Raw genomic sequence first — 25,465 nt, 5'->3', positions numbered from 1 at the left:
GGGCTGGCCTCCCACACAACAGGGCCCATCTGCCTGGACCAGCGCCCCCTCGCTCCCAGCTGTGTGGCCTCGAAGCCACGCCCAAGCTTGGACCCCAGCCTCCTGGTTGGAGAAAACTGATAGCACTGTGTGGGGGAGAGCTGCCGCTGCGAGTGGCAGGGGCCCAGCTCAGGGTCCCTGGGTCTGCTCCCAAACAAACTGCGATTGGTGCTGGGCAAGGGAGTGATGTCTGGGGGGAGGGAGAAGCTGGGCTTGGACTTCCCTCTGGGGTGCTGCAGCATCGAGGTTGTGTGGAGGGCTGAGCACAGCAGGAGGAAGTCGTGAGCAGCCAGGGGCCTCCCCCTCGGTGTCTGTAGCAGCTGGGGCTCCTGCCAGGCCCTGGCGGTCGCCCACTTCCAGCTGGGACGGTCCTGGTCCGCCACAGCCCAGCGCCCTCTCTGGTGACTCAGCACTGGCCACAGGCCCCTTTGCAGGGCCTTTTCCGGTGCAGGGCCCGGGGGGTGGTGGGGAGGGGGCCCACGGCCTGACCTCCAAAGACGGAAGTGGAGAGGTCTACAGGGCAGCCCTAGGGAACATGGACTCAACCCCTCCCATCTCCCTCAACCTCCAAAGGGCCACGAGAGCAGCTGGTCCAGGAAAAACGACGTTTTATTTTCATAAATACTCCTGCTCTCACTCACACACTGACCCCACTTCTGACCACGGACAGATGGATGGACAGACGTAAGACACCCATAGGAGGCCCCAGCAGAGGCCAATGAATGAAGGAGACACACCGAGAACTCTAGGTGCCCCACAGCCCCTCGCTGGGGCCATGGGCCTCTGGCATTACCCTTGAGCCCCCACAGTCCCTCAGGGGGCCCAATGGCAAAGGGAAACCCCCAGGAGTACGGGCCAGGTGAGGTTCCCCCAGCCTGGCCCCCTGAGGCTGTGACCACAGGGCCAATCCGGAAGAAAAGCAGAGTCAAACCACACACCAGAGTGCAAATAGCTGGGGGTGTAGGCGTCACCCCCCAGTCACTGGGTTCCTATGGAGGAGGCCTAAGCTGGTCCCCAGCTCCAGCATGGCCCCCGAGTTATGGCTGGGCCTTCCCATAAGGCATAAGAGACAGGTGGGGAAGACCCCACCCCAGCTGGGGTTGGGGCTGGGCCTGAGGTCCTGGCCCTTCCCCAACAGCTGTGCTTCCTCCCCATGACCCAAGTTCTTCCAAGGCTACACAGCCCCTCCCTCTCCAGGTCCCGGTGATGGAGACCCCAGCGGCACAAACCCAGGCCCAGCCTCCTACTGGGTTTGGCTCAGCAGGGGCGGGGCCGGAGCAGGAGGGGGAAGAGTCACTTGAGGCCTACAGGGGTGTGGGGAGAAGCACCAGGCCTGGGGGTGAATGGCCATGGGCAACAAAGGGTGTCCTTGGCCACCAATGCCTCCCTCCAGGCTGGACAGTGACCGGTCCCTCTGCCCCTTCCTCTCCCCAGCCCCTCTGTTCTAGAGGCTACCCCAGGTTTCAGGTGGGGGGAACTGGTCCACATCCCCCATCTCGTTGTAGGTCTGGTCACCCATGGTGAAGGTGAGCTTGTAGCGGAGGCGAACCTTCTCCTGGGGAAGAGATGGCAAAGGCAGAGGGGTCAGAGGAGGAGAAGTGGCCGTCCCCACCCTGCAGCACTGCCTGGGGGCCCCTTACCTTCTGGGGGTTGGCAAGCAGCAGGACCTGGGTGATTGCTGAGGGGTGGACGATGGGGTTAAAAGCTGGCAGCTCCGTGCCCGAGGGTGGCTGCAGCTTCACCTTCATAACCTGTGGGCAGATGGCAGGATGGGCACAGCTAGCCCTGGCTGCTTGTCCTGCTCTGAGGAACCAGGCCCAGCCTGCCAGCTCCCCTCCGGGGATCCTGGGGCTCAGTCCTTCTGGTCCCTTCTACACCAACCACCCAGCAAGGGAGGGAGACCTGCCCCCTGACAGGTGGCTCCCCACCCAGCTCCATGTCACCCTGCCTTGAGAGGAGGGAGGCATGCCCTGTCCGACTGGCTTGTCACCTTGGGGACAGCTGACTGGAACACGATGTTGCGGATGGGCTGGGGGGCGGTGCTCAGCATGGAAACCACCACCACCAGCACGTCGGAGCGCCCTGGCAGTGGGTCCCGGGCAAAATGGAAGAGGATGCGGAAGCCGTGCTGGTCATACACAGTCACGGGCAGGATGTTGCCTGTGGGAGAAGGTGGGAGGGCGATGGGACAGCTGAGCTGCAGCACATCCGCTCAGCCCCCAGCCCCCACCCGGCTGGCCTCAGGAGCTGGCTGCTGTACTGGCAACAAGAGCAAAGTCCTCCTTTGGGGCCTTACCTGGACCCTGGGTGGCAGTGCAGGCAGGGGCACAGAGCGGTGCCCAGAGAGGGCAGGTGAACCCCCAGTCTGATAGTGGAGGCAGGACACCCACCCCAGAGCCGAGTCACAGCCCAGCTTCCCCCGATGCTGTGTGGCTGCTGCCTGGAGTGCTGGGGTGAGGGACTTGGTGAGGGTGAGTCTCACGCTGTGTGACCTTGCGGCAGTCACTCCCCTTCTCTGAGCTCAGGGTTCTCCTACTGGTGAGAGGGGCAGCTCTGCCCACTGCTGGGAGACACTGTGGGGGTAGTGTCTTTGGTCACAGGGAGCTCATAGAGGGCAATGCTGAGGACCACCAGGCCTCATGTGTCTGCTTGGGGCCCGGGGCTGGGCCATGGTCCCCTTACTGCTCCTGGGCTGGAAAAACCCAGCCTTGGATCTGGGTCTTTATCATGGTTCAGTTCTGTAATCTGGGGGAGACCCCAAACCTCTCTGTGTCCTGGGCCCTGCCTTCCTGGGGATGGAAGGGGCCCAGAGCCTACTCCCTAGAGGTCTTCTTGCTTATATAAGCCTGGAGTTTGTACAGCAGTCCTCTGATTGCTCTGGGGCAGATAAGGAAACTGACTCCTGGGAAGGGGAGGGCCTTGTTCAGAGCTCCCCTCTGGTTGGCCAGTGGCAGAGCCAGGGGAGCCCTGCTTTCCCACTAGCTTCCCCAGACAGAGCTCCTGACAGGGCAGCAAGCTGACCCAACCCAGCCTGCACCTGCCCCAGCCCTACTCACTGGGTTTGATGGACTCCAGGGGCACAGTGATGCTGGCCAGTGAGAGCTCGGTTGGTACGGGCTGCTGCGGAGGCCTGGGGGGCTCTGGGGACACGGTGTGGAGAAGGCTGGTGGCGCTGGAGCTGGGGGAGCTGCAGCTGCTGCTCTTATTCTGCAGGTCCCGGAGTGTGAGCCGGGGGGTTGGCTGCTGCTTCTCCCTTAATCGGGGGACAGTGCATTAAGAAGTGATTCTTGGCCAGCGTGGTAGCTCACCCCTGTAATTCCAACACTTTGGGAGGCTGAGGCGGGCAGATCGCTTGAGCTCAGGAGTTTGAGACCAGCCTGGGCAACATGGCGAAACCCGGTCTGTATAAAAAATACAAAAAACTAGCTGGGCGTGGTAGCGCACACCTGTGGTCCCAGCTACTCAGGAGCCTGACGTAGGAGAATCGCTTGAGTTTGGGAGATGGAGGTTGCAGTGAGCCGAGATCATGCCACTGTACTCCAGCCTGGGTGACAGGGTGAGACTCCCTCTCAAAAAAAGAAAAAGTGATTCTTTGGTGATGGAGAGATCAGGGGCACAGGAAAGGCTGGCACGTGTGGCTATCTCTCTGGCCTTGGGTCTTACCTTTAGAAGGAGCAGCTCGTGTTCTCCCTCCACCCTGCACCCCACCTATTCACTCCAGCCCAGTGTCCTCCCCTCTGCCGGCCCTCTGGACCTTTCTCAAGGGAGCTGGGAACACCTGGGGGGAGGCCAGGCCAGTGGGCCCAGGTCTGCCTTGGGCACTGTTGTGTTTCCAGAGGCAGGTGCACTGCTTGGCATCTGCTGCTTACAAAACAAGACAGCAACGAGCCTCTCCCTGCTGGGCCTGGACAAGCCCAGGAGAAGTTGCTGGTTTGTGGGAACAGGGAGTGCTCCCCACCCCATGCCAGCCATGGTGGGCCCTCACCACCGCACTTGCTGGGATTCCGGGGGCAGCGACTGCTGCAGGAGGGTCTTCCCCAGGAGGTCTAGGTCGTCCAGACCGCTGCTTGCTGGCAGGGATGTCTGCGCTGGGGGTCGGCTTTCCATACTGGGGGCCTGGGCCAGAGCAGGGGCTGGGGGCTCAGTGGCATCCGACGACTGTGGGGAAAAGGATGCAGGTGGGGTGGGGCTGTCTAGAGAGGTGTCAGCATCACCTGATCCTGCCCTGAGGCTCAGTGTCCTCCTTGCAAATGACATCTGGGAAAGCAGCCACAGAGGTGGGGACCCCAGACCACCCATGTCCATGATGCAGGGTGGCTGGGTCTGGTTGGGGGTTCTACAATCCAGGGACCTCTGTCACCCTCAAGGGAAAGGAAGAGGGATTGCCCATCTCAATCCCAATCCCAAAGGCTGGGCTGCAGCCCCAAGGCTGAGACTTGGGGAAGATACAGCTGGAGGTAAGGGGAGGCCCTGTACCCTGGGTGGGTGTCTCCAGGCCCCTGGGCCACCCCCTGGCCCTGGGCTCTTGAGTAGAGCCCATCCATCCTTTTAGTTTCTCCAGGCCACTTGTCCCAGCTGCCCTGACCCTGGGACTGGGACAGGCCAGACTAGTTTGTGGTCCCCTCCTACCTGGAAGCTGTTCCATCCGGTACCATCCAGGCTTGGGCCTGAAGGGGGTGTGGGGTCACTGAGGCCTGAGGGGAAAGCAGGAGAGAGGTGAAGGAGCTGGGCTGACCCTGCAGAGGCCAGAGAGCCGAGGGGCCATGTGTGCTGGCATGGGGCTCCCTACCCCTTTCTGAGGCTCAGCACGGAGGGGAGAAACCCACATTTTCAGAGGGAACCAGCAGCAGAGCAGAACCAGTAACCAAGATCCCGGCAACCCCTTGTGCTGACCCCACACACGCTTCCCCTCTTCCTGGCCAGGCCACTCCAAAGCTCTGTGCACACAGACAATAGACATCAGGACTTTCATCTTCACTCGTCATCTGGCAGCAGAGAGCCTGCAGGGCTGGGCTGCAGGGAGAAGAGGTTCCTTTCCTCACGCATCCAGGCAAGGGGAGAGCAGCTCTGTGCCTGCCACTGGCCCACTCGAGGGACGCCTGCTGGGTGACTGTGGGCTAGGCACTGTGCTGGCTGAGCCACAGTGTCCCCAAGAATACGAGGACAGGGCTGGACTGGAGGCGACGCTGAAGGCCCTCTTGGCCCTGGCACATGCCAGTGAGGCTCACTGGTACTATGGAGGGCTGGGGATCCCTGTGGATGGCCCTAGAACTAGCTGCCGATGGGAAGGAGGCAGCAGGTCACCAGCCAGCCTGACCTCTGCCTGCCCTGGAATACTGTCAGCCAAGTTCACCCCAAATCTGACCTAGAGAAGATAAGGGATCTTGTTTCCAACAAATCCTGAAAAAGTGAGGTCCAAACCGAAGTGCTACCTGACAGGCAAAGGCAAGGGTACCAGGAAGCTGTGACAGTGGGTCCCTTCTAGATGCACTTCTTAGAGGCCAGAGATAAAGTGCACTGATGATGCCCTAGATGCTTCAGGCCCTTCAGATGCTGGTCTTGCTTAATCCTCAAACAACCTTCAAAGGTAGGGGTGAGCTTCTCAGCCCTCTTTTAGGGATAAGAAAATGGACTCAAAGTTGGTAAATAACCTGCCCGAGAACACACAGCTAGAAAGTGGCAGAGTCTGGACTCAGACAGAGCATGGCCTGACTGCCAGCATTTGAACACAACTCTGCCACTTGGCTGTGTGATATTGGGGGGTGACAGCCTCATCTGTAAAATGGAGACACCAGCCAGGTGCAGTGGCTAATGTCTGTAATCCCAGCTATTTGGGAGGCTGAAGCTGGGGTTTGAGATAAGCCCTGGCAGCATAGAGACTCTACCCCTAAAGAATAAAAGGAAAAAAAATTAGCCAATGCCTGTGGTCCCATCTACTTGGGAGGCTGAGATGGGAGGATTAGTTGAAGCCAGAAGTTTGAGACCAGCCTGAGCAATATAGTGAGACCCCCATCTCAAAACCAAAAAGAGGTGGGCGCAGTGGCTCATGCCTGTCATCCCAGCATTTTAGGAAGCTGGGGTGGGTGGATCACTTGAGGCCAGGAGTTCAATACCGGCCTGGCCAACACAGGTGAAACCGTGTGTCTACTAAAAATAAACTAATTAACCGGGTGTGGTGGCACACACCTGTAGTCCCAACTACTCAGGAGCCTGAGATGGGAGGATCACTTGAGACGGGGGAGGTTAAGGCTGCCTGAACACCCTCCTTGAGGGACAGGAACCTGTCTCCCACCCCTGCCGTGAAGAGTGAGGACCAGCCCCCTGTGTGGCCCCAGGGCCTCCTCCATTCCCCAGGCCCAGGCTGCAGGCTGCCCTGGCACTTCCGGCTCCTGTGCCCCCATGCTTTGCCTCTGAGAGGAAAACAGAAGGAAGCTGGTGGCTCAGAACTATGCCAGTGCAGTGCGGGGACAGGAAGTGCGGCTGCATCTCGCTTCTCTTGTGGAGGTGGTGCTGCAGCTGCTGGCTGGGGGCTGGTGGCCCTGCAGTACTTCCCCACCCACTGCCCCTCAGGTAGCTGCCACCCAGGGCTGGCTCCACAGGGGAAGATAAACCTTGTATGAACGTTCCTGTCCCTTGACCGTCCTTTACTTCTCTGTAGAATGGGGTAAAGGTCCTCTCCCTGCGGTCACCCTTGGCTCTGAATGAAGAGGGGGCGGCTGCATGGGGCTCGTAAGCAGCTTCAGGGAGGGTGCTGGCTGCTGGGTTCACAAAGGGAGCTCACAACTGGGCCTCCTTTCCCCTCAGCTCTCCTTCCCCTTCAGCTCTCCCTCCACACTCCGGGTCCTCATTTCCTTTTCCTTGCTTATGAACAACGAGTCAGAGCAGCCCAGCTGCTCAGAGTGTGGCTTCAGGATCAGAGCCCAGCTCAAGTCCTAGAGCCCTTTCTGCACAAGTCACCCAGCCTTTCTTTTTCCTTTTCTTTTTCTTTTTTTTGTGAGACGGAGCCTTGCTCTGTCAACCAGGCTGGAGTGCAGTGGTGCCATCTCGGCTCACCGCAACCTCTGCTTCCCCAGTTCAAGCAATTTTCCTGCATCAGCCTCCCCAGTAGCTGGGACTACAGGCATGTGCCACCACGCCCAGCTAATTTTGTATTTTTAATAGACATGGGGTTTCGCCATGTTGGCCAGGCTAGTTTCAAACTCCTGACCTCAAGTAATCCCTCTGCCTTGGCCTCCCAAAGTGCTGGGATTCCAGGCGTGAGCCACCGCGCCTTTCTGTGCTGCCGTTTCCTCATTGTGCAGTGGGGCTATTAACGGCACCTGCCTGCAGAGACCGTGAGGGTCACCTAAGACAGGACAGAGTGCAGTAGTGGGCACCACCAAAGGAAGCACTCCTGGAACCCAGGCAGACCCCGCCCAGGGCGCCCCGGGTCCCCATCACTTCTTCAAGGCCTTCGGGTCTGGTTTTTGCTTCAGAACTGGCTCAGGAAACCACAGTCTGAATCTTGGCTTCCAACATATCCCTGAGGATTCCTTTGATGTGGCCCTAACGTATCTGCTCTTCATCCCTTCAGTGGCTCTCAGGAGGAGGCTGTTCTGATCTCAGCTCTCGGATGGGGCTGCTGCCCTGAGAGCAGTTGGAAACCCAAAAATGGTTTGGGCAGCTGGGAACGCTTTGCTGCTTCCCCCCGGGGAAGCCTGGCCCCTGCTGGGCTCTGGAGCCGGAGCCTGCCCGGGAGTAACAGCAGGCCTGGCCCTGGACCAGCTTGGATCACCGAGTCCCTCGCGCTCTGGCCTCGGCTTCTCTGGAGCCTCTGGGTGCTCTGGAGCCCAGAGCCCTCCCTCTCCTCTTGGTGGATGAAGAAACTGCTGAACTTTTGCCCAGACAGTTCTCAATTCCAGGCTCTAACCTGTTGCGGGGAAATCCCCTGGTTTCCCCCCAGGCTGCCAGAGCCTGAATGCTGGTTAGCTTATCCGAGGCCGGCTTAGAGGTTGCCAGCCTCACCCTCTGGCCGTGTGGCCTCGCACAAGCTCCTAACTTCCCCGAGCCTCAGTTTCCTCAGTTGTGAAGTGGGCCTAATGCTCATCCACGTGCCCCACAGGATCCACACCTGGGGTACGTGGTTCCGCTAGCTGTGAGTGGGCCCTGGGATCATGCCCCATCTGCTGCTGAGCCCGCCCTCCTCCAGGCCTGGCCCCTTCCTCACCCAGAGACATGAGCTCGTCGTCAAGCAGGGAAACTGAGGCACTGGGCTGCTCAGGGCTGGCCTGCTCGCCAGGGCGGGTGGGCATAGCTGGGTAGGTGGTGCCCGCAGGCGGGAGATCCAGGCCTGAGAGATCCAGCAGGGCCGAGGTGCTCCCTGGGGTGGGAAAGAAGAGGCTGGCAAGTCCTGGGTGTACACGTGTCTCTCAGAGTCCACAGGGGTTGCGGGGGAGCAACACCTAACCCCCGATGCTTTACCACTGGTCTCCTGCCTCCCCTTCCTTGGCCACACCAGCCCCTGCCTGGAAACTGCTCAACAGGACCTCTCTTTGGCATATGATGGTACTTCTGTCCGGAATGTATTTCCTTCTTAGCTCTACTGGGCAAACTGCTACCCATCCTTAAGGCCCTGCTGAAACTTGGCTGCTTCCGTGCAGCGCCTCCATCTCCACTTCTCCCTAACAGAACCAATTCTAACCCCTTTTGTGACCCCCCAAGGCTGCCATCTTACCCTTATTAGACCTGAGTCTGTAATGTTTACTTTTCTAACCCCCCTCGCATTTTCTGATACATAAAGCCTCTGGGGTGTCATCTAGCCCTATACAACAGGTGCCAGATTTGTCAAATGAAAGAATGCCTTCCTTCTTCTGCCTGTCCTCACCAAACCCTCAGCTCCCCCACCAGACTTCTTCCCCCACAGCTGCAGGCTTGGCACAGACTTCACCCCCAGCTCCCTCCCTGGGGCCTTCCCCATCTTAAGGGGCCAGGGTCACCCTGGCAGTCATTCCAGCCGCTCTGAGACCAGCACACCACCCTGCACTCTCTGTGCCCCTCCAGCCTGATGGGTGCCCTCCCAGCTCTCCTGCCACCTCCTCACCAGGGATGGAGCCGGCTGTGGCATCACCGTTGACCTCCTCACCCCGCACCAGCTGCTTATACAGGTTGATCACCTGGGTGAGGTTGTCATTGGCCTGCAGGATCTCCGCTGGAACAGGCAGGAGGGGAGAGGCCAGGCTGAAGGACTGTGGGGGCCTCTGGGCGGCAGGGGACGAGGACCCCACATCCATCACAGCCTGTGTGTGAGGGGAAGGGAAAGGGGCAGGGAAACAGCCCATCTCGTCTGCTGAGACTCTGGCCCTCCGCCACCTCCCTGGTCTCACCTCCCACCCTTCCCTCATTCACTCCCTGCCATACTGCCTGGGCTGTCTCAACACACTGGGCCCGCTCCCGCCTCCAGGCCTCCACTCCAGCTCTGCTCTCTGGCTGCCCCAGATCTCTGCATGGCTTCATCCCTTACTGCCTTCAGGTCTTCACCCAAGGCTCACCTCAGGGAGGCCTGTCCTAAATCCCTCCTGCACCACCTCATCCCTTCCCTGCTTCTCTTCCTCCATGCCACTCACCACCGTGACGAACTGTCGGTGCTCATGGACTTGGTTATTGTCTGTCTCCTCTCACTAAACTACCATGAGGAAGTTTTTGTCAACCTTTTTTTTTTTTTTTTAATATAAATATATTTGAAATAGAGACTGGGTCTCTCTATGTTACCCAGGCTGGTCTTGAACTCCTGGACTAAAGCAATCCTCCCACCTTGGCCTCCCAAAATGCTGGGATTACAGGTGTGAACCACTGCACCCGGCGTTTTGCAAACTTTGATCAGTGCCAGATCCCTGAGGGCCTAGAACAGTGCCTGGCACCAATCAGGCCCTCGGCAACACTGCCTTCCCCAGGTGCCAGGGTGTGGGGCAATCTGGGCAGTGAGCCTTGTGGGTGGGGCTCCTGCTTAATGAGGGAGTGGATGGTACCCAGACCGCAGCCCAAGTGGCCCAGGCTGACACGTGGGCAGAGATCAAGGAAAAGAACCTGGTATGTGGCCCTGGCAGAAGCCGTCAGGCTCAGGTCTGGAACTGCCTGGGCTGTGGGATGCACTCTTAGCTTCCATTCACCCTCATTAGGGAGGAAGGTCTGGGGGCAGATGGCCCTCCGTCTCCCCTGGCTCTGCCACTGTTCTGCTCTGTGATCTGGGCAAGTCATTTTCCTCCCTTAGCCCCAGTTGTGAAAAGGGGATGGGTCTGCCTCCTGTGCAGCTGCGGGTAGTAAATAAGATGCCTGTTAAGGGGGCTGGCCCACAGGGCCTCTCAACAGGGGGGCGGCCCCTGCTCTGTGTCCTCAGAGAGGAGAAACCCAAGGTCGGTGCTGGAGAAGGGGGCCCCCTGGTGGTGGCTCCTTCCAACTGCAGATACTTAGCAGGGCCTGGGGGAGGTGGGGGCAGGAGGTGGAGGGAGAGGGGGGGACCTGACCTCAGCACCTGCCCTGGGCTCACCTAAGGCCTCATCATTGTCCTCTGTGTCACTCGCCAGTCGGAAGAGCGTGGGCCGCATCCGCTCACAGCGCTGGTACAGTTCCTGAGGGCAGCAGGATGGGCGGGTCAGGGTCCGCGTGGGCTGTGGAGTGGGCAGGGAGTGGGGTAGGCAGGGAGGCAGGTGCACCTTCATGAGGTCCTCGCTGCTGCCAGCTGCTGCGCCGCCCTGGCTGTGGCTCATCACCATCTCCGTGAGCAGTTTCACATTGTTGTTCACCTCCTCGATGGCATTCACCCTCTTCGAGATCTTCTCCATCCGCTTCTGGTCCTGGGGACACATTGGCCAAGGGCCCCTGAGAACCTTTGGCCTGGACGAGGCACTGCCCCCTGCCACTTGAGAGAATGTGTGCTGGGATCTGGGTTGACAGCTGGGTGACTGTGGGATCACACTCTGGGTGGGGCTCCAGCAGGCCCTGCCAGGAGCCCCTCATGCCTAGGAAGGGCACGCTGGTCCAAGAAGCCCCCAGTGCCCAGGCCTCTGCACAAGCTCATCAGGATCTTCAGAGATGGCCCAGGAACCTGGGTTTCCAAACCCCTCACCAGGTGCTTCTGAAGGCCCAGGGCCCTAGACCTCCACTGTGGTTCTCAGTGACTCTTGCCCTCCTTGTGTTTGCCCTTTCAAAGGAGGTTCCTGTACTTCATAGTGCAAGGGGACCTCTGTGGTCACCAGGTACAGCCTGGAAACGAGCAGGAAGACCCTTCCAGTGTCTGTCGGTGCCTGGCAGATGGGGGAGCCCGTGCCTTCAAAGGCTGCTTTTGGGAGCAGCCCGGCTTTCCCCTGCCCCTCCGCTTACTGTGCGTGCCCCTCCTTTGCAGAGTGAAAAGTGGCCTCACACAGTCCTCCCACCTTGGCCTCCAAAGTGCTGGGATTACAGGCATGAGCCACCACATCCAGCTTTGAAACTTTTTTTTCAGCACTTTGGGAGGCCGAGATGGGAGGGTCATTGAGCCCAGGAGTTACAGACTAGTTTGGGCAACAAAGGGAGATGCTGTCTCTACAAAAAATAAAATTAGCCGGGCGCTGTAGCGTGTGCCTTTGGTCCCAGCTACTTGGGAGGTTGAGGTGGGAGGATCGCTTGAGCCCAGGAGGTCGAGGCTGCAGTGAGCCATGATCGTGCCACTGCACTCCAGGATGAGATCTTGTCTCAATTAAAAAAAAAAAGTTTCAGCAGGCACCCAGGCAACATATGTATATTTACTTAAAAATTAAACATTTGGCCAGGCAGTGGCTCATGCCTGTAATCCCAGCACTTTGGGACGCCGAGGCAGGCAGATTGCTTGAGCCCAGGAGTTCCAGACCAGCCTGGGCAATGTGGCGAAACCCCTTCTCCACAAAAAAAATACAAAAACTATACCGGTGTGGTGGCACACGTATTTAGTGCCAGCGGCCTGGGAGGTTGAGGTGGGAGGACTGCTTGAGCCCGGGAGGTTGAGGCTGCAATGAGCCATGATCATGCCACTGTACTCCTGCTTGGGCTAGAGAGTGAGTCCTTGTCTCAAAAAAAGTCTCCTCATATACATACACGTATACATACTTACATATATTCATTAGTATTTTTAAATACTAAAAAATAATTTTAAAAATACTTAGTATTTTTAAATACTAAAAAGTAATTTTAAAAATACTTAGTATTTTTAAAAATATACTAAGGCCTAATTCATTTCTAACTTTTGACGAAGAGGTAGCCAGCCTCCCAAAGGCCCATCCAGAGCAAGTCACCCAGGCTGCCGGGAATTCTTCCCTGCACACCCTGGTCCCCCAGCATCAGCTTCTCTGCTGTGCCAGCCCGGGTCACTGCAGGGCTCCTTCCATGTGAAGATGCATACAGCCCCATCTCAGTGGCCCAGCTCAATACCCCCATCCCGCCTCCTCCCTGTGCTCTGGGCTCGGCCGCTACCTCCTGCACCATCTCTTTGATGAGCTTATTGGCTGCGCGGAGGTCTTCGGGATGGGAGCTCTTCAGCAGGCGGGCCAGCATCTGCAGAGACAGAGGGGTGTGACCGTGAGGGCAGCACCTGGGCCAGGGGTCAGAAGACTGGAGTCACATGATGGCTCCCCGCTTCCTGCCTGTGGGACCTGAGTAAGTTACTTAAGCTCTCTGTGAAATGGTGAGAATTTACTGATGCCTGATAGGGTGGCCACAGGCCAGCGGAGACACTGCATGTAAAGTGCACACCACAGCGCCTAGCAGAAATAAGTAATCAACAAATGGTGCTCCTTATATCCCCATGGCTGAGAACCTTTCTGGGACAATGTACAAGAACCTTAACAGTAGACACTCTCCAGGGCTGGGGCTAAGACTGGGGAGAGGGGACCTTTTACTTTAACCTCTTTATTTTAATCTTACCTCCTCCTGGGCTGTTTAACTTTTCACCCACAAGTTTTAATTTTATTAACTTTTAACAAAAAATTAGTGAAATTCTTATAGAAAAGGTCAAAATACCCTCAAACAAACTCCAGGGACACCAGACACACTCCTGTTTATTAAATGTGGGGATGCTGTATGGGACATACTCAGCACATATTAAATGCCCAGTAAACAGCGCCCATCATCTACAACGATGCCTGGGCTCAGTGTGTGCCTCTGTTCCAACGGCTGATGCCAGGGCAGCTAGAGGTCAGAACCCACGGACCCCCACCTGGGCTCAGAGTCCCCATATGTGCCTCCTTGGAGTCTCACCTTGGATTTCTCCTCATCTTCAAAGATCACATTCTTCGGCCGTGGAGGAGGAAGGGGAAAGGTAGTGTCATCTGGAAGCTTGGGGTCGGACTTTACAATCCCTGGATTAGATGAGTGTCAGAAAGGCTGTCAATATGTCCCAGGCCCAGGGGTAGGGGTGACATGGGGATGGGGGCAGGCAAGGGTAGGACAGAAGAGGGAGGTCAGTCTTTTGCCAGCACGCTGGCTCTGGACTCTTAGTGGCCTGGGCCTACTCCTACCTACTCCATCAAAATTGCCTGGGGGAGATGGTTTGGGGACCCATATTTTGAGGCCACTCCCTGGAGACCACTCTTTGAGGGGAAGCTTGATTCGAACTCACCTTCTTTCCACCCAAGCTAGCCTCAGGCAGAGCACAGAAGGCCGCACTAGCTGTATGTACTTTCTCCAGAAGTTAAAGGACAGACCCATGACCTTGCTGGCTCAGAAGCCCCTGAAGCCGCTGGAGCCCCAGCTCATGGTGGGGGAGGGGAAGGCAGGCCCTGGTCGCCCCCCACCCTCTGTGTGCCTCACCCTGCTTCTTTAGCATCTGGTAGGCCTCTGCGATTTTCACCTCCTCGGGCAGGCCCACTGTCCAGCTGTAGAGGAGCTCCAAGATCTTGTTCTTCACCTTCTCCGATGTCCGAGAGCCCAGATACTTCAGGGACACAGTGGGGAGGCCTTTGATACTGCCCAGCCCCACTCACTTCAGTCTCAAGCCCTGTCCACACCCTACTGCCTCCCCAGGACTCCCCGGGAAGCCCTCTAGCCTACAGGGTCCTCATAGCCCCGCCCAACCAGCCTGGGGTAGACTGAGTTCACCTACTACCCCTGCCACTTATTAGCTGGGTCAGCCCTCAGTGTCTGTTTCCCCACCTGCTAGATGGCACCATGGTGAGGATGCAGAACTGACATGAGGGACAGGCCTGCTCATAGTCGGCTCTGGGGACTTAGCCTTGACATCCCAGGAAAGAGGAGCCAGAGGTCTCCAGGCTGCCCAGGGAGGGGTGAGGGTGGAACTGGGAGGCCCTGGGCCTACTCTCCGTCTCCTAGCAGCAAACTGGGCTGGGGAAAGTGGCTCTCACAGCAGAGTCCCCTGTTGGGAGGAGAATGGGAGGCCATATGGATTATTCAGTAGCTCTGGTCAAAGGATGGGTCTGAGCAAGGAAGGGCCAAGGGGGTGGGCTGTCACTCAAACAGCTTAAGAAATGTTCACAGTAGGCCGGAGGCCATGGCTCACGCCTGTAATCCCAGCACTTTGGGAGGCCAATGCAGGTGGATCATGAGGTCAGGAGTTCAAGACCAGCCTGACCAATATGGTGAAACCCTGTCTCTACTAAAAATAAAAAATTAGCCAGGCTTGGTGGTGGGCACCTATAATTGCAGCTACTCTGGAGGATGAGGCAGGAGAATTGCTCAAACCTGGGAGGTGGAGGGTGCAGTGAGCTGAGATCGCGCCATTGCACTCCAGCTTGGGTGACAAGAGTGAAACTCCTTGTCAAAAAAAAAAAAAAAATGTTCACGGTAGGTAGGCCGGGCATGGTGGCTCACGCCTGTAATCCCGGCACTTTGGGAGTCCACGACAGGCAGATCATGAGGTCAGGAGTTCAAGACCAGCCTGGCCAACATGGTGAAACCCCATCTCTACTAAAAATACAAAAAATTAGCCGGGCATGGTGGCGTGCACCTGCAATCCCAGCTACTTGGGAGGTTGAGGCAGGAGAATTGCTTGAACCCAGGAGGTGGAGGTTGTGGAGCGTAGAGATCATGCCATTGCACTCCAGCCTGGGTGACAGAGCAAGACTCCATCTCAAAAAAATAAAGAAAAAGAAACGTTCATGGTCTGTGGGAAGACTCCTTGGGCTGAGCCGGGGATGGCCCGTCTGGAGCCAGCAGGCTCCATCACTCAGGTCTGTGGCCTTGGATGCTGAGGTCCAGGGAGGTTGCTCTTGTGTGGTGGGGACAGGGAAACCTGCCAGAGACCAGGTAGGGTTCTGTGGCCAGGTCCACAGGGAGTGATTTCAGGCCAGAGATGGCTGACACATACAGCCATCTGTCAGCTTATGTATTCCCTGGAATCATTTCTTCCTAAGCACCGGGCAGCTCCATGGCTGCCCCGCCCCTGGCCAGCCTGGAAACACTCCTCCGAGACCCCAGGCTGTCCCAGAATCAGGTATGAGAGGACTGTGAGAAGAGATCTGTGTTTTTCCTAGGTCTGAGTTCTAATGGGGGGCTGAGGTGACACCCCAGTGGGAGGCTCCCTGGAAAAGTCGCTCCACAATCTGAAGGTCCTCTTTCCTCTCCCCACATCCGACAGGGCAGGTCTGAGCTTGGGCTGGGGGCACCAACCTTGGGAGACACGACCTTGATGAGCTCGTTGAGAAAGCGGAACTTGCCCACTTCGTCGTGGAACCGCTTGCCGCAGCTCTTCATGCATGTTTCCAGCACCTGTGCAGGGAGGGGGGATGGGAGGGGACGCCCAGGTGCATCAGAGGCCGTGGCCTCCCTCCCACGCCTTGGACAGGGGCCAGAAGCCCATGGGTGGGCTTTCAGAAGGGAGGGAATGGCCTGTGAGGTTGGAAGATTCAGAGTCACACAGGCCTCTGGGACTGGTCATCACTCCCATGGGAGATAGGGTCAGGCGACCTACATACAGTGCCCAGCAATGCCCAACCTGTAGCAATGCTCTAGTCCCATTCATAGCTTAGGCCCCACATCTGAGTACCAACTGTACATTATTTTCTTACTATTTTTCCTTTTTTTTTTTTTTTTTGAGACAGAGTTTCACTCTTGTTGCCCAGGTTGGAATGCAGTAGCACGATCTCGGCTCACTGTAACCTCTGCCTCCTGGGTTCAAATGATTCTTCTGCCTCAGCCTCCCAAGTAGCTGGGATTACAGGCGCCCGCCCACCACGCCTCGCTAATTTTTTATTTTTAGTAGACATGGGGCTTCTCCATGTTGGTCAGGCTGATCTTGAACTCCTGATCTCAGGTGATCTGCCCGCCTCAGCCTGCCAAAGTGCTGGGATTACAGGCGTGAGCCACCAGCCCGGCCTATTTTTCCTTTTTTAAAAAAACCTTATATAGGCAACACCTACCTTGGCCTTATCCTAAGCTACATCTATGAAATCATAGGACTAGTTATACTTGAGAAAAAAATGTTAAAACAAATATGTAACAATAATGATTATTATTTAGAGATGGGGTCTCACTCTGTTGTCCAGTCTGGAGTACAGTGGCACAATCATAGCTCACTGTAGCCTTGAACTCCTTGCCTCAAGCAAGCCTCCTGCCTTGGCCTCCCCAAGTGCTGAAATTACAGGTATAAGCCACTGCACCCAACTAAACACGTAAGTATTAAAAGAGAAACTGTATCTCTACCACCACTTAAAATCAGCTTTGCTCCATGGTGGGTTGGTATGTGGCCCATGCTGGGGGCCACAGACAGTACACCCCTCTCTCCTCTGCTATTGAACAGATGCAAAACCTCAGGCCTGAGCCCAAGCACCACCCCTTAGCTTTACAAACGTGCAGATCTCTGGATGCAGATACTCCAGGAGTGTGGCCTCGGCAGGTCTGGGTGGAGCCCTGATTCCATGTGTTGAACACGCTTCCTGGAGAGGCAGCCGATGTGCAGCTGAAGCAAAGAACCCCTGGACCAGATGACCCTAGAGGGCCTTCCCTCAGCAACAGGCCTACGTGTATGGATGCTGGGGTGGGAGGCCAGCCCGCTGGCTGTGGTGGGACCCTTGGGGCAGGCCCGGACCTCCATCCTGGGCCATCTTAGCACAACTCTCTTGGGCTCTGAAGAGCCTTATGGACCCCAAGAACCTCAGTCTTGGCCTCCCTTGGTGTCGTCACATGGCGGGGGACGGATGGTGGCCTCTCCCCTTCTCACCGTCAAGGCCTGGATCGCCTCCCACTCCTGTGGGGACTGGATCTTGTGGGCCAGCAGCCGGGTGGCGAGTGGAGGCCTGGGTGGGAGGAACAACACAGAGCCAGAGTCGCCACGGAGTCCCGGTCACCCTAGGGCCACGACCCCAGGCCGCTGGGACTGCAGCCCTCCTCCAAGGGGCCCTGGTCGCCCTAGGGGAGGGTCACCACCCCAGCCCGCCGCCGAGACTTCAGCCCTCTAAGGTTTCTGCAGGCATATGCAAAGGCCCAGCTCCCTCTCCAGATCAGTTATGGCCTGAGATTGTGGCAGGGCAGGGCCAGACAGAGACTGCAGGCAGGGACCTTCAAAAGGTATGAGCTCAGCTCCTGGGCTGGCCTAAGAACTCTGATGTGTCACGTCCTTGGCTTGGCTTGCCATAGAGACAATTACAATATGCCATGAGAGACGGGCAGACACAGTTCCCTGGGAACTCAAGGTGGCAAAGGACGTTCTGCTGTGGCAAATCAGAGCAGCTTCATGGTGGAGGTGGTGACATCATCTAACAGACTGTAAAAGACCCGTCACCAGTGACGGTAAGAGCTCACATGTGCTGAACTGGTCATGTGTGAGGAGGCTCACATGCACTTTCCTGCCTAAGCTGCATAAGGCAGGCAGCACGGTCATTCCCGCCTCACCGTGGGAAGTTCCTTCAACTGTGAAGAAACTGACACTCAGAGGCAACCACTCACCCAAGGTTACTCAGCTAAGAGAGGGGACAGGACTCGTACCCAAGCAGCACGACTCCAAAGCACACACACCGCTGTTTGTGGTCCCGAAACTTTAGTATCGCCTGGGGAGCCCACTAAGAATGTCCACTCCCAGCTGGGCACGGTGGCTCATGCCTGTAATCCCAGCACTTTGGGAGGCCGAGGCAGGTGGATCATGAGGTCAGGAGATCGAGACCATCCTGGCTAACACGGTGAAACCCTGTCTCTACTAAAAAATACAAAAAAATTAGCCGGGTGTGGTGGCAGGCGCCTGTAGTCCCAGCTGCTGGGGAGGCTGAGGCAGGAGAACCGCGTGAACCTGGGAGGCGGAGCTTGCAGTGAGCCGAGATCGTGCCAATGCACTCCAGCCTGGGCGACAGAGCGAGACTCCATCTCAAAAAAAAAAATAAAAAGAATGTCCACTCCCAACCCCCCACTGGACAGTCGAGTCTGGGGGCAGCCCAAGAAGGTGCATTTACTTTATTTATTTTTTTGAGATGGAGTCTCACCGTCACCATGCTGGAGTGCAGTAATGCAATCTTGGCTCACTGCAACCTCAGCCTCCCGGGTTCAAGCGATTCTCCTGCCTCAGCCTCCCGAGTAGCTGGGACTACAGGCGCACACCACCGCTCCTTGCTAATTTTTGCATTTTTAGTAGAGATGGGGTTTCACCATGTTGGCCAGGATGGTCTCAATCTGTTGGCCTCGTGATCCACCTGCCTCAGCCTCCCAGAGTGCTGGGATTATAGACGTAAGCCACCACACCCGGCCTTATTTTTTATTATTTATTTATTTACTTATTTTTTGAGACGGAGTTTCACTCCGTCGCCCAGGCTGGAGTGCAATGGCACGATCTTGGCTCACTGCAACTTCTACCTCCTGGGTTCAAGCAATTCTCCTGCCTCAGCCTCCCGAGTAGCTGGGATTACAGGCATGCACCACCATGCCCGGCTAATTTTTTTTGTATTTTTAGTAGAGATGGGATTTCTCTATGTTGGTAAGGCTGGTCTTGAACTCCCAACCTCAGGTGATCCACCTGCCTTGGCCTCCCAAAGTGCTGGGATTACAGGCGTGAGCCACCATGCCTGGCCTATTTTTTTATTTTTTAAGAGATGATGTCTCGCTATGTTGCCCCGCTATGTTGCCCAGGCTAGCCTCAAGGGATCCTCCCGCCTTGGCCTCCCCAGTAACTGAGATTACAGGTGTGCACCACCATGCCTGGCTAAGAATGTACATTTCTGACAAGCATTCTAGGTAATTCTTTGTTTTGTTTTTCGAGACAGAGTCTCACTCTGCTGCCCAGGCTGCAGGGCAGTGGCGCAATCTCGGCTCATTACAATCTCTGTCTCTTGGGTTCAAGCAATTCTCCTGCCTCAGCCTCCTGAGTAGCTGGGATTACAGGCACGTGCCACCACGCCCAGCTAATTTTTGCATTTTTAGTAGAGACGGGGTGTCACCATGTTGGCCACGCTGGTCTCAAACTCCTGACCTCAGGTAATCCACCCACTTCGGCCTTCCAAAGTGCTGGGATTACAGGCATGAGCCACTGTGCCTGGCCAACATTCTAGGTGATTCTAACACAGGTAGTTCTGGTTCGTCCTTGAGCAAAGGGCCTACTGGCCTCCTCCCAATTGGGGAACATGCAGTTCTCCCTCTGGGGGGCCTTTCCCCACAAAGCACTGGCTGCAGGTCCAGCAGGCCTGGGTCTTACCAAGCTCAGGACTAGCATTTTCTCCCTGTGAGATGTGGGGGCAGATCTGAGTCCTCTGAGCCTTGATTTCTTTACCTGTTAAATGGTTCCAGCAAGGCCCACCCCAGAGAGTGACACCCAAACAGCATTCAGTGCCAAGTGCCCCATCCTCATCACTTTGTGAATACGTTCAGAATGAAAACCGGGTCTCCACCCACCCAGGCCATTGTACCCGAGACTGGGTTCTGGAGAGTGCAGGGCAGTGCAAACAAGTGGGGACGGCCACCTACCCCTCAAAGTCCTCGTTGAGCTGCTCGCAGAAGCCGTTGATGCTGGCCCAGTCGAGCTCCTTGTTCAGGGGGTTCGTGGCTCTATCTGGAAGAGGAGAGCTGGGGTCATTGTGGCCCGGCAGTGGGATTCCTGCTCTTCCACTCCTGACCCTGGCAAAGGTGTGGTCAGGAGTGGGAGAGGAGTGTGACTGAGCACGTGGGAAAGCTCTCCCCCTGCCTTCCTGCCCAGACAGCCTCAAGACCTGATTGTGGGTGTAGACAGACAGATGAGCACAGCTGCCCTCCAAAGGGCCCCACTTTTAGAGACTATGGTCAGGGCCCTTCCCCTCCTCCCCACTCCTCCCACCCCTGCAGCTGGACCCATCACGCCAGCCCCACCTCCTCTGATTCTGCTGAGAACAGTGTCTCCATAATTCTCATGAAATTTATGCTCAGAGGAGATCCAGAAGTAAGGGAGAAAAAAATCATAGTCCCGCCCTCAAGGAGCTGTGTAGCCGGGAAGTGGGCCAAGGGAAGCTAGGTTCTCAATAACGTGTGACAGAGGGAAGCCAAGGAGCTGTAGAAACACAGAGGAGGGGCCAGGCACGGTGGCTCATGCCTGTAATCCCAGCACTTTGGGAGGCTGAGGTGGGTGGATCACGAGGTCAGGAGATCAAGACCATCCTAGCTAACACGATGAAACCCCATCTCTACTAAAAATACAAAAATTAGCCGGGCTTGGTGGTGGGTGCCTGTAGTCCCAGCTACTTGGGAGGCTGAGGCAGGAGAATGGCGTGAACCCGGGAGGCGGAGCTTGGAGTGAGCCGAGGTCTCGCCACTGCCCTCCAGCCTGGGTGACAGAGCTGGGACTCTGGGTGACTCCGTCTCAAACAAACAAAAAAGAAACACAGAGGAGGGGACTCAGTTCAGTTTGGGGCTGAGGAGGCTGCCTGGAAGAGGCAACACACAAGCAGGGACCAGGAGGAGTCACCCAGGCTGGAGCTGGTACACCTCTGACCCACGCATGGCTGTATGGGCAGGAAAGATGCGGGTAACCACACGAGGCAGAGAATGAGGGGCCTCAGTAAGGAGTGTGAGTCTTACCATCACACCAGGTTCAGAAAGCCTTCATTCCCTTGGGAGTGGCTCCGGTGTCCCCTTCTCTAATCCTCTACTCCTGCCCAGGGTAGCAGTGCTGGGTCAGTTCTCTTTTGTGTCCCCCAGCCTGCTACGGCACTGCATCCCAGCCACTCATGTCCACACCTGTCTCCCCTTGGCAAATGAATGAGCAGTCAGCTGAGGGCAGGCAAAGGGTGAGGTTCTGGGGAAGACTGAATCCAGAAATGGATAGTGGCAAGGAAAGAGGGCCAACAGGTCTACATGAAGTGGTGTAAACACGACCAGACAGCTACCCCTTTAACCCCCAATACTGGTTAAACAACAATCTAGCTTACATGCTTCCCTGAACCTCCATTTCCCCATCTTGTAAAGCTGGAATGAAATATGGATTTTTTTTTTTTTTTGAGACGAGTCTCACGCTGTTGCCCAGGCTGGAGTGCAGTGGCACGATCTCGGCTCACTGCAAGCTCCGCCTCCCAGGTTCATGCCATTCTCCTTCCTCAGCCTCCCGAGTAGCTGGGACTACAGGCACCCGCCACCACGCCCGGCTAATTTTTTTTTGTATTTTTAGTAGAGACAGGGTTTCACCATGTTAGCCAGGATGGTCTCAATCTCCTGACCTTGTGATCCGCCCACCTTGGCCTCCCAAAGTGCTGGGATTACAGGTGTGAGCCACCGTGCCCGGCTGTATTTTTTTTTTTTTTTGAGACGGAGTCTCGCTCTATCGCCCAGGCTGGAGTGCAGTGGTGTGATCTCGGCTGACTGCAAACTCTGCCTCCCAGGTTCACGCCATTCTCCTGCCTCAGCCTCCCGAGTAGCTGGGACTACAGGTGCCCGCCACCACGCCCGGCTAATTTTTTTTTTTTTTGTATTTTTAGTAGAGACGGGGTTTCACTGTGTTAGCCAGGATGGTCTTGATCTCCTAACCTCGTGATCCACCTGCCTCGGCCTCCCAAAGTACTGGAATTACAGGTGTGAGCCACTGCGTCCGGCCTGTATTTTTTTATTTTTATTTTTTTTTGAGAAAGAGTCTTGCTTTGTTGCCCAGGCTGGAGTGCAGTGGCGAGATCTCGGCTCACTGCAATCTCAGCTTCCTGGGTTCAAACGATTCTCCTGCTTCAGCCTCCTGAGAGTAGCTGGGATCACAGGCGTCCACCACCATGCCCAGCTAATTTTTTTGTATTTTTGGTAGAGATGGAATTTCACCATGTTGGTCAGGCTGGTCTCAAACTCCTGACCTCAAATGATCCACCCACCTCGGCCACCCAAAGTGCTGGGATTACAGGCATGAGCCACTGTGCCTGACCAAAATATTGATTTTGGATGACAAAATACTTTTTGCATGGGAAGGCCATGGCGGCAGCCAGAGCTCGATCTTCATTTCTCCACAGCCCACCTCTAAGGACCACCCCTTCCCAGCCAGTTCTGCCCACGCCTGAGCACCGAGCTGAGGGTGTGGAAGGACACAGCCCAGGAGGTAGAACAGAGAAGGATCTGTGGACAGGAGGCTGGGGACTGACCCAGCATGTGGCGCCTGCCCTGGGCCATATGTTATGGCAGGGGGCCCAAAGCCCTGGAATCCCAGTGGCTGGCCGCCATTCATCCAACTCAGATTTAAGTATTCTGGGTGCTGGGGCTCCAGCAGTGAACAGACAAAATCCCTGCCCTCCTCAAGTTCACTGCCCAGCAAGAGAAACAATGAATACTCAGATTAACAAACCCCGTGTACTGCAGACTGTTGCAAAATGTTACAGAGCAAAGCATAGCAAGGAGAAGTGCAGACAGCCTGGGAGGTGGGGGCTGCTCTCTGGGAGGGCTTTCGGAGGGCTCTGGAGCCCTCGGGAGCTGCTCTCTGGGAGGGCTCTCAGAGCTGAGCTGAGATCGGAAGGACGAATGTTCTCTCTGGATCTAGATCTCTGTCCCAGGAGCTCCACAAGACCCTCTAGTCCCTCAGAAAAATGAAGCCCCTGTTGACCTCCTGGGGATACCAGGAATATGACCCTCCCCAACCCAGGGGTAAGGGTAACTGTCTACTCTGCCTCCGAGTCCCCAAACAAAGGCTGGGGAACATCAGTCTAAAGTTAGAGAATCACTGCCCATTCAATGACACCCAGCCAGAAGACCCTAAAACAGGAAGTCCCTTAAAGTGTCAAAGACACGTGAGTTGGAGTGAGGTCAGAGAAGCTGATTCTGGACTGCTCCTGGGTCAGACGCCAGTGAAGAGGAAGCGCTGGCATCATGAGACATCATCTTTCTCCCCCTGCCTCTGGCTGAAAGCCAGGGCCTCCAGATCCAAGGAGATCTGACTGACCTCCTTGGCCCATGGCCCCTGACCCTCAGCCCTCTTAATTCTACCTGAGGGGAGTACCCTCCCTAGCAGGCAGTTGGGGAGAACACCTAGAGAGGGAGGGAGGTGTTTCACAACAGGGTAAGACTCCACCCTGCCACTCTATAGTGCTGACAATAACATCATTTACCTCACTAGGCCGGGCGCGGTGGCTCACGCCTGTAATCCCAACACTTTGAGAGGCCGACGTGGGCGGATGAGTGGCTAACGCCTGTAATCCCAACACTTTGAGAGGCCTATATAGGCGGATCACCTGAGGTCAGGAGTTCGAGATCAGCCTGGCCAACATGGTGAAAGCCCACCTGTACTAAAAATACAAAAATAGCTGGGCGTGGTGGCGCACCTGTAATTCCAGCTACTCGGGAGGCTGAGACAGGAGAATCACTTGAACCCGGGAGGTGGAGGTTGCAGAGAGCTGAGATTGTGCCACTGCACTCCAGCCTGGGTGACAAGAGTGAAAACCCGTCTCAAAAAAAAAAAGAAGAAGCTATCCTTTACCTCCAGCCTCCACAAGGGAAGAGGAAAGATCTTACAATTCTGCTAGGACACAAAGGGGGAAGGAAAGGAGAAAATCCCAGCCCCAGTGTGTCAGGGCCCAGCCAAACCCAGGTATCTCTAACTTCTGCCTGGTTTTAGACTCTCTGGACTCTCAGAAAACCCCCACTGTTTCTAAACCTGAGAATGTTTTGTATGACCCACAGCTCAAGACCTGTGTCTGAGATCAGTTAGCCAGGGGCCCACCCATCCCCCCAGCCCAGTTGCTGCTGAGACCCAGGCGGACACTTCCGGCGTTCACAACGGTCAAGGGCTGCTGAGTGCCCCTTTTCCACCCCCTGCCCCTCTGGTGGCTAGGATGACTCTGAAACATCCCTAGAGGTTTGGTTCTGGGGCCAACCTCATGGTTCAACTCTGCTCAAGCCTGGCTTAAAAGGGGCCGGCCATGACCCCAAACCACGCTAGACAGTTGCCGGTGTGCCCGGGTCCAAGAGGGTTCCCTGAGGCCCTGGCAACGACGGGGTCCCAACAGCAGTTAAAGCCTTGGGAGAGAACCCTCACTAGACCAGGGAGAAGCCAGCCACGGCTTTCAGAGGCAGAGTCCAGGAGCGGGGCTGTGAGAGCAGGGGATCATCAGGGCTGTGGGTTAAGGAGCTCAGGTGGAGGGTTTGCGGGCTAGGAAGCCTAAGCAATAGGAAGCTACGTCTGAGGAGAAACAAGAAAAAAAGGGGTGTAGAAGCCTTTGAAGGAAGTTCAGCAAGAGCTGGGAAAGGCATCTTGGAGACTGAGGGGTTAGGCTGAAGGGAGTGACAGGGAGCTTGGAATTATTAATACTTCTGGAGTCTAAGACTCTCCCAAGCCTGTAGGGTGCGGGGGTTTCTCACTATGTGGCTAGAGACTAGGAGCGGCGGGAGGAATCAAATGGGGCAGTGGGTCCTCCCTTCCAGGACGGGGTAATGAGCAAATGTGACTACTTGCGGGCTCCAGGAACGCCATGCAGGGCCAGAGAGTGGAGGATTCGGGGCCTGAAAATAGTAGGGTCCCTCCCTCCCGGGTGTGAGATGCAACCCCGGGGAACCGCTCGCGTGCTCCTTCCCCGGGCCGCTACTCCGTGAAGCAATGTGAGCCTTGGGGGTTGGAGGCTGCTCTCTCCGTCCCGGGGGTTCCCGGCGCAGCTCACTCGCCGTCCCAGGGGTCATGGCCCAGGGATCCGACAGGTGGGCGGCGCCCGCTCCCACCGCTGGACCGCGCCGGGGCCGGGGTCCTCCATCGCTCCAGGGTCTGAGGGGCCGACTGAGGACACCGCCCCTCCCGGGCCGGGGGCGGGGCGTGAGGAGGGGGCGACCCGTACCCCGCCCCCGCCGGGAAGGGGCCCGCCTCGTGCCCCCGGTTCCGGTTCCGGTCCGGCCCGCGCCCCTCCCGGACACTCACTGATTCGCGCCTCCAGAGTCTCCGGCTCCATCGCGGGCTCCATCCGCCACCGGCCCCCAGCCTCGGCACCGCCCCCCCGCCCCCCGCAGCTCTCGCGGGACCTCCTGGGCACCGCCCTCTGCCGATTAAAGGGGCAACGTCCGAACGGGCGCGCTCGGCACCATAGAGAGGCCA

The 25,465-nt window shown here is 56.8% G+C and overlaps 1 protein-coding gene across 17 annotated transcripts, besides 7 other annotated features; it reads right to left on the bottom strand.

Moving 5' to 3' along the window:
* Positions 18-891: an enhancer, noted in NCBI's record as "H3K27ac-H3K4me1 hESC enhancer chr22:38029311-38030184 (GRCh37/hg19 assembly coordinates)". NCBI's record gives its function as "activates a minimal SCP1, AML or CMV promoter by ChIP-STARR-seq in naive H9 embryonic stem cells {active_cell/tissue: H9 hESC(naive)}" and the evidence as "EXISTENCE:reporter gene assay evidence [ECO:0000049][PMID:30033119]".
* On the bottom strand, positions 631-25,361 carry GGA1 (golgi associated, gamma adaptin ear containing, ARF binding protein 1). 17 transcript variants are annotated; one of them, NM_001172688.2, is made up of 18 exons: positions 24,839-25,155; positions 21,004-21,162; positions 19,921-20,005; positions 17,198-17,273; positions 15,649-15,747; positions 13,834-13,957; positions 13,282-13,382; positions 12,499-12,579; positions 10,728-10,868; positions 10,562-10,643; positions 9,119-9,226; positions 8,246-8,398; positions 4,669-4,733; positions 4,025-4,197; positions 3,096-3,292; positions 2,030-2,199; positions 1,680-1,790; positions 631-1,594 (listed from the first exon to the last, which is right to left on the bottom strand). In NM_001172688.2, the coding sequence occupies exons 5-18, from the start codon at positions 15,730-15,732 to the stop codon at positions 1,484-1,486; spliced, it is 1,701 nt and encodes a 566-aa protein (NP_001166159.1). In that variant the 5' UTR covers positions 15,733-15,747; positions 17,198-17,273; positions 19,921-20,005; positions 21,004-21,162; positions 24,839-25,155; the 3' UTR covers positions 631-1,483. The 17 variants fall into 17 exon arrangements, with proteins under 17 accessions (NP_001166159.1, XP_006724292.1, NP_001350700.1 ...); XM_006724229.2 differs by having other exon boundaries at positions 21,004-21,171; positions 25,041-25,155; NM_001363771.2 differs by lacking the exons at positions 21,004-21,162; positions 24,839-25,155 and adding an exon at positions 25,292-25,361 and having other exon boundaries at positions 17,147-17,273.
* Positions 638-797: an enhancer, noted in NCBI's record as "active region_18983". NCBI's record gives its function as "activates an Ori minimal core promoter by ATAC-STARR-seq in GM12878 lymphoblastoid cells {active_cell/tissue: GM12878}" and the evidence as "EXISTENCE:reporter gene assay evidence [ECO:0000049][PMID:35858748]".
* Positions 1,158-1,217: an enhancer, noted in NCBI's record as "active region_18982". NCBI's record gives its function as "activates an Ori minimal core promoter by ATAC-STARR-seq in GM12878 lymphoblastoid cells {active_cell/tissue: GM12878}" and the evidence as "EXISTENCE:reporter gene assay evidence [ECO:0000049][PMID:35858748]".
* Positions 1,398-1,457: an enhancer, noted in NCBI's record as "active region_18981". NCBI's record gives its function as "activates an Ori minimal core promoter by ATAC-STARR-seq in GM12878 lymphoblastoid cells {active_cell/tissue: GM12878}" and the evidence as "EXISTENCE:reporter gene assay evidence [ECO:0000049][PMID:35858748]".
* Positions 24,356-24,977: an enhancer, noted in NCBI's record as "H3K27ac-H3K4me1 hESC enhancer chr22:38005225-38005846 (GRCh37/hg19 assembly coordinates)". NCBI's record gives its function as "activates a minimal SCP1, AML or CMV promoter by ChIP-STARR-seq in naive H9 embryonic stem cells {active_cell/tissue: H9 hESC(naive)}" and the evidence as "EXISTENCE:reporter gene assay evidence [ECO:0000049][PMID:30033119]".
* Positions 24,532-24,641: an enhancer, noted in NCBI's record as "active region_18980". NCBI's record gives its function as "activates an Ori minimal core promoter by ATAC-STARR-seq in GM12878 lymphoblastoid cells {active_cell/tissue: GM12878}" and the evidence as "EXISTENCE:reporter gene assay evidence [ECO:0000049][PMID:35858748]".
* Positions 24,972-25,421: a silencer, noted in NCBI's record as "silent region_13688". NCBI's record gives its function as "represses an Ori minimal core promoter by ATAC-STARR-seq in GM12878 lymphoblastoid cells {active_cell/tissue: GM12878}" and the evidence as "EXISTENCE:reporter gene assay evidence [ECO:0000049][PMID:35858748]".

The sequence above is a fragment of the Homo sapiens genome, chromosome 22 (genome assembly GCF_000001405.40).
Source record: "Homo sapiens chromosome 22, GRCh38.p14 Primary Assembly".
Classification (NCBI taxonomy): Eukaryota; Metazoa; Chordata; class Mammalia; order Primates; family Hominidae; genus Homo; species Homo sapiens.
This window is presented reverse-complemented; position numbering and strand designations above follow the sequence as displayed.

What these genes read in the sequence shown, in the direction of transcription:
- GGA1 (NM_001363771.2), bottom strand. Translation starts at nt 25,334, where the DNA reads ATGGAGCCCGCGATGGAGCCGGAGACTCTGGAGGCGCGAATCA. An exon ending in TCAAAGAGATGGTGCAGGAG is followed by an intron (nt 10,869 to 12,498) that starts GTAGCGGCCGAG and finishes ATGTGTCCCCAG; the next exon opens with GACCAGAAGCGGATGGAGAA. An exon ending in CGACGAGCTCATGTCTCTGG is followed by an intron (nt 4,734 to 8,245) that starts GTGAGGAAGGGG and finishes CTTTCCCCTCAG; the next exon opens with GCCTCAGTGACCCCACACCC.